This window comes from Homo sapiens, chromosome 8 (genome assembly GCF_000001405.40).
Source record: "Homo sapiens chromosome 8, GRCh38.p14 Primary Assembly".
Taxonomy (NCBI): Eukaryota; Metazoa; Chordata; class Mammalia; order Primates; family Hominidae; genus Homo; species Homo sapiens.
In genome coordinates this window covers 51,472,721-51,486,346 of record NC_000008.11, presented here as the reverse complement: position 1 = coordinate 51,486,346, position 13,626 = coordinate 51,472,721, and the positions used below count along the sequence as shown (strand labels likewise).

The following is a 13,626-nucleotide window of genomic DNA, read 5'->3' as shown; positions in this document are numbered from 1 at the left end:
GTAAAATATCATTAATTTGGATATTTTGTCACCATTTGTACAAAATTAAAAAAATTCAAGAATGATTTTTCAATATTTACATACCTTGCTTCAAAATCTGTGATGATGGAAATGTTTTACTTTTCTTTTGATTTGTTTTGCCTGTTAAGCAATTAATTCTGGTCTGCTTGGATTGGAAAATAGATAATATCTTTCAATATTCAATCATGGATGCAATTTCCAGCCTCTAAAATACGTTTAAAGAAAGAACAACAGTCTTTCTACTGTGGTTATCTTGCAGAACTGCACCACTTATAAAATAATGAAGAAAGCTTTCATTTTACCTAGCAAAAATAAAGCAGGCATAAATTGTCCTGGTAATTTGGCTTTTCCCGAGGTTTAGTGCAATCTACTATAAGCTGTTTCTCCATCATGAAACTCTGTTCCAGTGTTCCTTAAGATAAGGAAATGGCATATGGCTAGGGCTTGTGGTAGAGAATGAGAATTACTGTGTCATCCATCTGCACACTGTTGAAGAAAAGGTTATTCAACAATACTTGTTAAAGCATGGCAAGAAAGATGTTATTCAAGGGGGACCATGGTGATAGGTATAGGGACCAGTGCAATGGAGTTTTGCACTGAGGGAGAAAGATTGGGCTGAACTCCAAATACGCCATGAGCAAGTGGGAGTTGATAGCCCAGGAGCAGGGTGGAGCCAATGGATGGAAAATTACTCAGAGGAAACATTAGGAGAAAGGCTCAGGCTGACCCTATTTAACAGGATAGGGTGATGATCTTGGTGATGATCAAATATCACCTGGGAAATGATGGGGATGAGGAATTTCAGGTATCAAGGGGTGGGAGGTACTGGTTAAACTTAGCAGCAGGGTTCTTGCTAAAATCGGACAATGTAGAGATGGACATGGAAATCCGAAAGTCAGGACTAGTTGGAAAAGAGCTCAGGAGAACCTGAGTAGAGTTTGGTCAAGAAGAGAGTCTTTGTCAATATCCATCTTCACATCATCATTTCTTTTCTAGCTACTGCTTCTGAGTTGGGTAAATTAGATGGGGCCGGTAAAGATAAGCACAGGGAATCAAAACAGGAAGGATCAGGAAAACTTTTTATCTTCTCAGATGTGCATCAGTGAAATTCAAGTTCCCAAAATAGTAGAAATAGTTTGGCCCCAGCTCACTCCCCCTGACCTTAACACTTAATACAGTTAAAATAAAGCCAAAAACATAAAGCCAAAACACTGATAAGAAAATATGGCCACATGATTTTATTTAATTTTGTGACAGAGATACTAGTCATGAAGTACAGCTCATAAAGTGGCTGGATGTAGCTAATAGTTAAGTTTCAGATATAAATTGATTATTTATGCTCATATCCTTGAGTCTTAAGAAAACTGGTCTCCATCTTTTCTCTATATTGCAGAGACCATCGTGTTTTCTCTCTTCACACATAGGCTCTTTGCCAAATATGTATTCAGTAGTCCTGGTGACTAGACAATCCCTGGCTGGTGCTTTTCTTGGTCATAATTTCTCTGGTCATAATGAGGGGAATGGGTATAGCCAAGGCAGCATGGAGGGAGCCAAAGCAAGTGCAAGACTACTAGGGTGGAGGGAGAGGGAGAGGTACTGAGGCCTGGATCTTCTCCTACTCCCGCCACCTTCCATCACCTGGCATGGGGCATGACCTCATAAGTGCACCTCTCTGTGATCCAGCTCCGGACATGTAGAAATGGCTGGCTGAGCAGTAACCATAGCAGCACCCAACGGGACTCTGGATCAGCAAAACTGTGCTGGCCAGTAAGCGACAGGCAGAGCTTGCACATCTCCATGTGATCCCACATTTGCAGGATTACAACAGTTACTCATGCTACATCTGTAGGCATCTGTTGTCATATATTGTTGTGCCTTTTTTTTTTTTTTCGAGACAGAGTCTTGCTCTGTCACCCAGGCTGAAGTGTAGGGGTGCAATCTCGGCTCACTAAAACCTCTGCCTGCCCAGTTCAAGCAATTCTCATGCCTCAGCCTCTGGAGTAGCTGGGATTACAGGTACCTGCCACCATGCCTGGCTAATTTTTGTATATTTGGTAGACAGGGTTTCACCATGTTGGCCAGGCTGGTCTCGAACTCCTGGCCTCAAGTCATCCGCCCAGCTTGGCCTCCCAAAGTGCTGGGATTACAGGCGTGAGCCACCACGCCTGTATTTTTAAATTTAAAATATTTAAATTTAAAATATTTAGTTCACAAATAAAAATTGTATGCATTCAAGGTGTACAACATGCTGATTTGATATATGTATACATTGCCTGCTGATAATGAATACATTGACTATTTACTTTGATTTCCTCATACTTAAATATTTATTTTTATGTATTTCTCTTTAGCATTTGTAATCTGTAACTAAGTAAACTAAAAAAATCAAAAGTACACAGATGTGAAAAAATACCCATATAGTAGTGGTAGATAGAGATATGTAAATCTTTAAAACAGATGGTTGTATAAATGACACTCTGACTTCTGTTTGCCCTTTCTCACTGAAATATTTCAAAAAAGGTATTGGATTCACAGTTAGGTGAAAGAAAGGTTTTGTTTGTCAAATTCATTATTATTGTATGGTGATTAAAGTTTATCTTTTCTTTTTCAGATTTTTGCATAACAACAAATTATCTAAAATTCCAGCTGGGAGCTTTTCTAATCTGGATTCATTAAAAAGATTGTAAGTGAAAGCAAGTGCATTAACACAAAAACCTTTTATAATTTCCTCCAAAATCCATCCCAAACAATGGTTGGTTGCCTTCTCCTGCTTTTCCTGTGAAAGACATTGCAATTCTAGCATGTTAGGGAGAAAATGGTTTTGTTAACTGCAGAGCGATAGAGAACCCAGATAGTCTTCTGGGCTTTCATGTATTCTCTTAGAAGTGACATTCAAAAGGAGTATTGAAAATAGACGTTTTCCTCGTTTCTCTGTAATATCCTTGCTGGCTAAATCTAAAGGCTCCCAAGACTTCTTTTTCCTTTAACTTTTTCATGAGATAAGAGATGTGAGAAGTTCCAAAGAAAGTCTGACTCCTCGGGCCAGGCTTCAGTTTTCCCTTGTTGTACGGAGTTGTCTTCCTACTCATTTCCTCCTACATTAAGCAAAACAAAACAAAAATCCCCATGCTTGCAAGGTCTGTGTTCTCCACAGCTTCCCTGCTCCCATCCGTGGGCTGATGTCCATCACTTTTTTCCACCTGTGTCTCCACCCTCCTGCATTCCAGCTGTCTCTTCACTCCCATCTGTGTGTAGCCTTCTACACTGTTGATGTCTTTATTTTGTGGTTACCCACCCCCTCCACTAATCCTCAACCCCAAACACAAGTATAAGTTCCAGTTATCAGAAAAAGATAGATGCCTGCTTCCCAGATGTCAGTCAGAGAGCACATAGTGGAAAACTCACACAGGTGTATCCATCATGGGCCTTGGAGGCTGTATTAGTCTGTTCTCCTGCTGCTAATAAAGACGTACCCATGACTGGGTAGCTTATAAAGAAAAGGAGGTTTAATGGACTCACAGTTCCTCATGGCTGGGGAGGCCTCACAATCATGGCAGAAGATGAAGAGAGAGCAAAGGAATGTCTTACATGGTGGCAGGCAAGAGAGCCTGTGCAGGGAACTCCTGTTTATAAAACCATCAGATCTCATGAGACTTATTCACTACCATGAGAACAATATGGGGGAAACTGCCTCTATGATTTAGTCCCCTTGACACATGGGGATTATTACAATTCAAGATGAGATTTGGGTGGGGACACAGCCAAACCATATCATTCCGCCCCTGGCCCCTCCCAAATCTCATATCCTCACATTTGAAAACAAATCATGCCTTCCCAACGGTCCCCCAAAGTCTTAGCTCATTTCAGCATTAACTCAAAAGTCCACAGTCCAAAGTTTCATCTAAGACAAGGCAAGTCCCTTCTGCCTATGAGCCTGTAAAATCAAAAGCAAGTTAGTTACTTCCTAGATACAGTGGGGGTACAGGTGTTGGGTAAATACAGTCATTCCAAATGGCAGAAATTGGCCAGAATGAAGGGGCTACAAGTCCCCTGCAAGTCCAAAATCCAGTGGGGCAGTCAAATCTTAAAGCTCCAAAATGATCTCCTTTGACTCCATGTCTCACGACCAGGTCACATTGATGGAAGAGATGGGCTCCCATGGTCTTGGGCAGCTCTGCTCCTGTGGCTTTGCAGGGCACAGCTTCCCTCCTGGTTTCTTTCATGGGGTGTGTTGAGTGTATGCAGCTTTTCCAGGTGCACAGTACAAGCTATCAGTGAATCTACCATTCCGGGATCTGGAGGACGTTGGCCTTCTTCTCACAGCTCCACTAGGCAGGGAGTACCCCAGTAGGGACTCTGTCTGGGGGCTCCAACCCCACATTTCCCTTCCACACTGCCCTGGCAGAGGTTCTCCATGAGGGCCCCACCCCTGCAGCAAACTTCTGCCTGGACATTCAGGCATTTCTATACATTCTGTAAAATCTAGGTGGAGGTTCCCAAACCTCAATTCTTGACTTCTGTGTACCCACAGGCCCAACACCACATGTAAGCTTCTAAGGCTTTGGACTTGCACCCTCTGAAGCAATGGCCTCAGAAGTATGTTGGCCCCTTTTAGTCATGGCTAGAGCTGAAACAGCTGGGATGCAGGGCACCATGTTCAGAAACTGCATAGATCAGGGGGGCCCTAGGCCCAGTCCATGAAACCATTTTTCCCTCCTAGGCCTCCAGGCCAGTGATGGGAGGAGCTGCTGTGAAGGTCTCTGACATACCCTGGAGACATTTTCCCCATTGTCTTGGTGATTAGCCTTTGGTCCCTCATGACTTTTGCATATTTCTGCAGCCAGCTTGAATTTCTTCCCAGAAAATGGGTTTTTATTTTCTACTGCATCATGAGGCTGCAAATTTCCAAAATTTTTATGCCTCGTCACCTCTTGAATTCTTTGCTAACTAGAAATTTCTTCTACCAGATACCTGAAATCATCTCTCTGAAGTTCAAATTTCCACAGATCTCTAGGGCGGGGCAAAATGCCACCAGTCTCTTTGCATAGGAAGAGTGACCTTCACTCCAGTTCCCAACAAGTTCCTTATCTCCATCTGAGACTCCCTCAGTCTGAATTTTATTGTCCATGTCACTATCAGCATTTTGGTCAAAGCCATTAAACAAGTCTCTCGGAGGTTCCAAGCTTTCCCACATCTGCCTGTCTTCTGAGCCCTCCAAGTCTCTAGGAAGTTCCAAACTTTCAAACATTTTTCTATCTGCTTCTGAGCCCTCTAAACTGTTCCAACATCTGCCTGTTATGCAGTTCCAAAGTCCCTTCCACATTTTTGGGTATCTTTACAGCAGTGCCCCACTCCCAGTACCAATTTATTATATTAGTCTGTTCTTATACTGTTAATAAAGACATACATGAGACTGGGTAATTTATAAAGAAAAAGAGGTTTAATGGACTCACATTTCCACATGGCTAGGGAGGCCTCACAATCATGGCAGAAAATGAAGAAAGAGCAAAGGAATATCTTACATGGCAGCAGGCAAGAGAGCCTGCGCAGGGGAACTCCCATTTATAAAACCATCAGATCTTGTGAGACTTATTCACTACCATGAGAACAGTATGGGGGAAACCACCCCCATGATTCAATTATCTTCAGCTGGCCCCACCCTTGACATGTAGGGATTTTTACAATTCAAGGTGAGATTTGGGTGGGGACACAGCCAAACCATATCAGAGGCTGATATAGTTTGGATGTTCTCCCCTCTAAATCTCATGTGCAATTGTAATCCCTAATGTCAGTCGTGGGGCGTGATGGGAGGTTCATGGGGGCAGATCCTTCCTGGCTGGGTGCTGTCCTCCCAATATTGAGTGTGTTTTCTTGAGATCTGGTCATTATAAAGTGTGGCATCCTCCACCTTTTCTCCTGCTTTCACTATGTGAAGTGCCTGCTTCTGCTCCTCCTTCCGCCATGAGTAAAAGCTTCCTGAGGCCTCCCCCAGAGCTAATGCTGGCACTATGCTTCCTGTACAGTCTACAGAACCATGAGCCAATTAAATCTCTTTTCTTATAAATTACCCTGTCTTAGGTATTTCTTTATGGCAATGCAAGAATGGCCTAATACAGAGGCCACTTTTGTTGTGGTTGCTCTTCTAATATTGTGTTCCTAGACACAGGTCCATGAGCAAAAGAATGTTATGATTAAGTAAAAATCAGAGCCCTGAGGAAAATAAATCCAGGCCCCTATTTGTGCCCAGAAATAATGCTTGTAATCTTTGAGTTTAATCAAGGAGGCATTTCACCCACTCCTAATCCTTTTCTTCAAGTCTTTATTTCCTTCTTTCTTGGTAATTCTCATGTCAGACACACATAATGCTGCTTCCCAGTCTTCTTGGTGTTCTTTGATTGTATCCAAGCCCTCAAAAGTCTTGGATATGGTCATCAACTGACCATATCTATCTGTCTATCTAATCTATCTGTAAAGGGGTACAAGTACAGATTTGTTACATGGATATATAACATAGTGGTGAAGTCTGGGTTTTTAGTGTAACCATCACCTTAATAGTGTGCACTGCACCCATTAGATAATTTCTCATCCCTCACTCCCACCCCACCCTTCCACTTTTTTGAGTGTCCAGTGTCTATTATTTCACTCCCTACGTCCGTGTGCATGCATTATTTAGCTCCCACTTGTAAGCTTGAAAACATGAGACATTTGACTTCCTCTTTCTATTTCACTAAAGATAATGGCTTCCAGTTCCATCCATGATGACTCTGCTTTTTGCCAAAGTTTTCTTACTTGTCAGAACTGGCTGCAACAGCCATTTGGAATAACACATCCATTTATTCTTGTTTTTCAATCCTATGTGGGATATGCAAAATGCCAAGACATTTTGTAACAGGGTCATAGGATGTTCCATTTTGGTGGTGGGAGAAATATTGTGTATTATTTTCTACTTGTCTGTTTTCTCTCCTTTTTTGGATTTGTTACATCAGTTATGGTTAGAGTCACTGTCTTTGTATATTTGCAATTATAATTCCCATGCAGTGTTTCTTGTCTACATAAATTTCTATCTGGGTCATTCTTGCCTTCTGTGACTCAGAGAAAGTCTTGAAGTGCCAAATTCCTTAGTCTTTTCTAATCTCTTTTTATTATTCTTTCATGTTAAATCTTAGTAGCAGCTTTTTTGTTCTAGCCTCCTCTTACATTTACTGAAACAGCATTCACTCAATTGCTGGAACACACATGCAAAAATAACTGCCAATAAAGAGGCTGAGGGAGTTCTCCTTACAGTGATGTGCCAGTATGCACCTTACATGCATGCACTGTGCTTATTCCAAATGTTTTAAGATGATTTTTTTGGTTTGTTATTTTGACAAACTATCTTTATGTTATGAATTTATTTTATGGGAAACTGATATACAGATGATTTGAGCAACCTGCTCAGGGTCCATGAAGTCCCGATGGGTCCAAGACGGGGTGGAAACTGGGCACCTGTTTATTCCAAATCCTCAACTCCTGTCCTATTTTGGCTACAATTTAGATGAGAACAACAGAATACAGGAGAGCAATAGAGGGCTACACCTACTATTAAATGAATTCCACCTTCAACAATAAAGTTTTTCAACTGAGGAGTGTCCATTCACTGATAGCTTGTGAGGGCAGAGAAACCAGCGGGAATTCTGCCCTTGACTCTGGGCGTGGCACTTTGAAGGATCACCCGACACTGGGTTCTCCATCTGTACCATGCCATTTCTAACTCATGACAACTACACTCCTCACAAGTGGACTGTAAAAATCAATAAAATGTTTTTGATTTTGTTTTGTTTAAAAGTGTTTTTGGATCTTTAAGTGAAAGGGATTGTGTAAGTACAAGTGAGGTGTTACTGTTTTCAAATAGAAAAGATTAATTTACCTAGCACCACTTATTTCCTTTGAAATTTTTCATTGAGCAGAGAATATATTCCAAGTGAGTAATTATTTTAGTGCTGTGGTTCTTGACTGCATACCATCAGAGGGCTTTTATTTATTATACTTGGTATGATATTTGATGTAAGAGTACTTTCAAAATGGAGAACAGTAAAATGATAATGATTTTAAACATAGTGTATTCAATATTTAGTATAGTCTAATAAAGATTCATAAGAACCATCTTTCTTATTGATTGACTCTATTGCTCCTTGGTTTTCAATATTCATGGCTCTAAATTACAGGCAAAATTTTGAAAACGTTTTCTCATGATAAATTTGAAAATTATTTATAAAGATTACTCAGATTATCATATAAAAGTATACTTTTACTATACTTTTATACTATACTATACTAAAAGTATACTTTTATTTTCTGAACATAAAAGGAGTTTTTCGACTGGCAAGTGAAAATCTATATCCTTTTGTTGTTTTCTTCATGTTTTGCATCCCCACTATTGATATCTTAAGTTGAAAATAATAATTAGAAAGAAATGAAATCTTGTGCTCAGTTATTACCAAAACACATAAGCATGAGGTTGCGTTAAGGGAAGGTATGACTGAGGGAAGGTGATGAGCAAGCAGTGATGACCTCTGGAAGATGGGGCAATTGCATGGTGAGGCTGCCATGCTCGGGATGCTCCCAGGGGATGTGTATTCACATCCTTGCTTATGTTCAAGTCAGAGGAACGTCATGGTGATGCTGAAGTGAGAACTTACTCCTTTATATTTAGAGGAGTAAGTTCTTGCATGTTCCTTTTTGATAAAATTACGAGAAATTAAACTCAAAATATAAATGTGAACTTCGAACACAATACTGTTGAACTAGATTTGTTTTATAGCCACGTAGCTGGTACAATAAGTCAGTCAGTGACAAGGAACAGCCGAGGCCCACTGAACCAACAGCGCTGTCCTGAACAAGGGCTAGTTGACTTTTATGACTTACACCTCACTCCCGACAAGGCTGACAGAATTCCCTACTTTAGCCATGGCTTTATATTCTCACGTTAGTGTGAAGTCTTGTTGGAAACATTAAGCAAATAATATGTGTATGGTTAACTAACTTTTCAATAAGTGCAAATGTTTTCCCTTTAGCAATTTAAAGCTACTAAACATAGCTATCATTTTCAGGGTAATATAATAAAATTTAGATACAGTTATAAAAATTAGTCTTATGAATTGGGTATCTACAAAACATTTTACAAAACTGTCAGATAATAAAACTTTCTTAATTTATTAAAATGTATACAGTTGTTTTAGGAAGTGTTTTAGTTTCTAAATCCAGAGAATAGCACAATTTCTTTACTTTCAGGTTTGTCTCTTCCAGTAACGTGATATTGATGCAAATTTCCAAATTAATACAATGAAGTGATTTTTTTATTTGCAAATTGGTATCTTTAGATTTAATTTGTGTTTGTGTATTTGTTTTTCCATGTTTGTAAGGACTTTTTGTGCATGAATAATTTTGATTAAAAGTTATTAAATTTATGGCATTTTGTATTCTCCTCCAGTCACATTGGACACTACTTCTTACAATCAGGTATAAGCAATCTAACACCTATCATAAAATATGTTCACATTACCCTTTTATTGCTGGACTTCCTTGCATAGAGTGTGATCCAACTGCCACCATAGACAGACTTGTGAATTCTACTTAGCAAAAGCTCCCTTTTTAACCCATTGGGAGAAATGAAAAAAAGTATTAATCATTTCTGCGCCTTTTTGCCACGCATCTTTTGGCAAGAATGGAGGTATATCATAAATCTCTTTGGTGATCTATTTTATTTCATGAGGAAAAATGTGACAGAAAAATTAGTGAAGTATAGTATAACTTGGCAAAAATGAATAACTTGTGTGCCTATCTTAGGAAACACCATAAAGAAATGAAAAGAGCCATCGCCTTCCTGTTACAGTCTACATGTAGCAATTCCAGAGGGGGACCTTCTAACTGGGACTTTGAGCATTATAAAAAAGGAAAGCTTGGCTTCTGTCCTTTAGAGCAAGTGGAAAACACAGAGAACACATGCCTATCCATATTGATGCCAAGGAGTTTACAAAAGAAAAAAGCCAACTCCTGGGGGAGCTGCGTGGATCACACGTCACATTTATAAGCCTCCTTTGGGCAGCAAAGCTTCTACCACTCTTTTGAGTAATCCAAAAATATTGAAATACCACCACCACATTACAGCTTCCTTGTTCTGTAACACATAAACAAAGCAAACTGGAACACTTCAGTGCTTACAGCTTTTTTGTTTGTTTGTTTTTGCTTTTGGGACAGGGTCACACTCTGTCACCCAGGCTGGAGTGCAGTGGTGCCTTCATAGCTCACTGCAGCCTCCAACTCCTGGGCTCAAGTGATTCTCCCACCTCAGCCTCCCAAGTGGCTGGGACTATAGGTGGGTGCCACCATGCTTGGCTAACTAAAAAATTGTAGACACAGCCATAAAAAAGAATGAAGTAATGAATTAATGCAGGAACAGTAAACCAAACACCATATGTTCTCACTTATAAGTGGGATCTAAATATTGGGTACTCATAGTTATAAAAATGACAACGATAGACACTGGGGACTACTGGTGAGGGAAGGGAGGGAGGGGGGTGAGGGTTGCAAAACTATTGGGTACTATGTTCAGTACTTTGGTGATGAGATCAATAGGACCGCAAACCTCAGCATTATGCAATATACCCAGGTAACAAACTGCATATGTACCCCCTGAATCTAGAATAAAAGTTGAAACTATAAAGAAATTAAAGAAAATTTTTATCTTTGGAGAGGGAGCCTTGCTAGAATGCCCAGGCTGGTCTCAAACTCCTGGCCTCGAGTGATCCTTTTGCCTAGGCCTCCCAAAGCACTTGAATTACAGGCATGAGCTACTGCACCTGGCCATACTTACAGTTTTAATTCTACATTTCTCTGAAACAAATAAGGATTCATTTCACCTCACATTTATTTATAATAGACATAGTGCACATTAAGGGAAAACCACTTTTCCAGTTTTAAAGTGGCTTCTCAAAAACATGGTTAATTTGAAAATGTGTCTACTCTGTGCAAGATATGCAATGAGTTAAGTGATTCTTAAAATCTGTTTATTGGTTAATAGAATCCTGGAGTCAAAAATGTAACAGACAAGGTAAATCAGGGGAAATTAAATATTACCACTCAAAAGATTCATCATAGAAATTAATAGTCCCTTTTAACAGTTGTACTTCTTGCCTGCATGCCTAGGCGTCTGGATTCCAACGCCCTGGTTTGTGACTGTGATCTGATGTGGCTGGGGGAGCTTTTACAAGGCTTTGCCCAACACGGCCACACCCAGGCTGCGGCTACCTGCGAATATCCCAGGAGACTCCATGGGCGTGCAGTTGCTTCAGTAACAGTAGAGGAATTCAATTGCCGTACGTAAATTTCAATGTGTACATAAGATAGAACTGTCTCTCATTTGCTCTCTTTTTGTAAAGGTTTATTATATAATATTGCATTTTAGAAGAACGTGTTATCAGAAAGTGTTTTTAAGGAATGTGGTAAAAGTATGGCCAATTTCCTTTCCATCATCTGCATTTTCATTTAAAGAAGTTTTTATCAACATAAAATTAAGAGCTGAGAGAGTCTTTGAGGAAGATTTAATCTAATTTCCGTAATTTCAGAGGAGAAATATTGAGAAAACTGATTTTCAACAAGGTCACCAGAAGTGGTGTCCAACGTTAAAATCTCCACTTATTCCTTGGTATGACTTAGTGTTAATAATCAGTAATTTAGGGGTTTCAACTTTAAATCAAATAATTGCTAATATTCATTGCTGAGAAAGCCCTCAACAAATTCAGTAATTGATTTTTTAAATGTATAATGGGACCATGAATACGACTAAAATAATGAAAATCAGTTTTACCATCTCTTTGTAAATTTTTAAATAATGGAAACCTTGGATTTAATAAGCATATGGTTATATTCTGACAACCTTACTAAAGCAATAAGCTTTACCTAAATAATTTATTACGGCTGCTTACAATATTATTTGATTTTCATTTAAAGCTTTTCATGTGAATATAAGAATATGTCTCTATGTATCTCTATTCCTATATTTCGGTTTAAATAGAAATAAATGAATACCTTCGTGTGTGTGTGTGCATGTGTGTGATAATTCGTGTCTTGGAGATTCACTCACATGACTGCTGTAATTACAGCAAAAATTTGCTTTCCACTCCCTCGCTGGCAAGCCATTTTTTGAATTTCTCTAAACAAGTAATTAAAAATCATATCAATATAATTAATTTATATTCAAATTGACAAGAAAATTGACTTGGTCTTTACTGCCAAAAAATTCTCAAGCTTGTCCATAGCTCCCATCTTTACTACTAACTTCCAGTTCAAACCACAGTCAAGTTTGGCTGGATTGCTTCACATCTTAACTGATATCCCAGCTTTCATTTTTCTTGCTCCTTTATGTTTGGGAAAATTGTTTAAAAACACATCTTAATACATCATTTCTTCATCTATAATCCTTATACAGGTTCCTACCTTAAAATAAAGCACAAAATTCTTAACATGGTTGATTCTTTTTGTACGGTCCTTGCTGGCTACACTCTGCTCCTCCAGTCACTTACTGTTTTTTTTTTTTTTTTTTAAATTAGACATTAAGTTTTAGGGTATGTGTGCTCAGTGCGCAGGTTAGTTACATATGTATACATGTGCCATGTTGGTGTGCTGCACCCATTAACTCATCATTTAACATTAGGTATATCTCCTAATGCTATCCCTCCAGTCACTTACTCTTTTCTCAGTGTTGTAGCCAACTCAGTGTTCTCCATTCTTGGAAGTTCTTAAGCCTTTCTTCAACCCAAGGACTTTTTACATGCTGTCTTTCCTGCCTACAATATTCTGATTCTACTTCTTTTAATGGTCCTCCTTTTAAATATGAATTACATGGAAAGCCTTCATTCAAACCCCCTTCCCACTGACCTACCTATCCCTCCATACTGAATCAGGTCCCTTTTTATAATCCATCAAAACATCGTTTATTTTCCATCTAAGCATTTGCCGCATATGTTAATATGTATTTGTGTGTGTGTGTGTGTGTGTGTGTGTGTGTGTGTGTTTATTTTCTACTGCTTCAATGAAACTGTAAACCCCTTGGTACAGAGACCTTGTCTATTTTGAACACTGCTTCATCACTAGTCCTAGCGCCTTGTCTGGCACATAACTGACGTTGAATTTTTTTTTAAATTACACAAATGAATAAAATCATTTATCTAAAAAGAATAAAGCCAAGATATTAATTATATGGAGTTTTAATGAAGTAAGCAAGATTACTAAAGATCTACGGAATGTTCTACAGACATAATAGTCATGGTTAATGACAGGAAATTTCAGATAAGGCACTTATAAAAGGAAGAGTTTTATTATTTAGAAAGGTTTAAAGAGAATTAGGTGAAACTATAGAAAACTAAAAGTCCCTTTTGTACATTGTTCTTTATAATTTAAGTTCAATAATACTACCTGATTCATTACAAAATCAATCACTCCATCTTCTTATTGAAATAATTTAAGTGTTTTCATGTTTTACCACTCAATTATTATTGGAAGATGGAATCATTCATTTATATAGATAAGAATTTTGCTCAACCAGTTTTGAGGTCTAGACATATCACT

General features: G+C 38.8%; 1 protein-coding gene across 9 annotated transcripts in view; it reads left to right on the top strand.

The window, feature by feature from the left end:
* Window positions 1-13,626, top strand: part of PXDNL (peroxidasin like) — a 489,869-nt gene that overhangs the window by 323,099 nt on the left and 153,144 nt on the right. For 8 of the 9 annotated variants that reach the window (XR_007060701.1, XM_047421364.1, XM_047421365.1 and 5 more), the window contains 2 exons: window positions 2,633-2,704; window positions 11,206-11,375. Coding sequence is in view for 8 of the 9 variants with exons in the window: in XM_047421364.1 (XP_047277320.1) it covers window positions 2,633-2,704; window positions 11,206-11,375 (242 nt within the window). In the remaining variant the exon portion in view is untranslated. The remainder of the gene's footprint in view (window positions 1-2,632; window positions 2,705-11,205; window positions 11,376-13,626) is intronic. The other variant, XM_047421366.1, reaches the window with a different exon arrangement.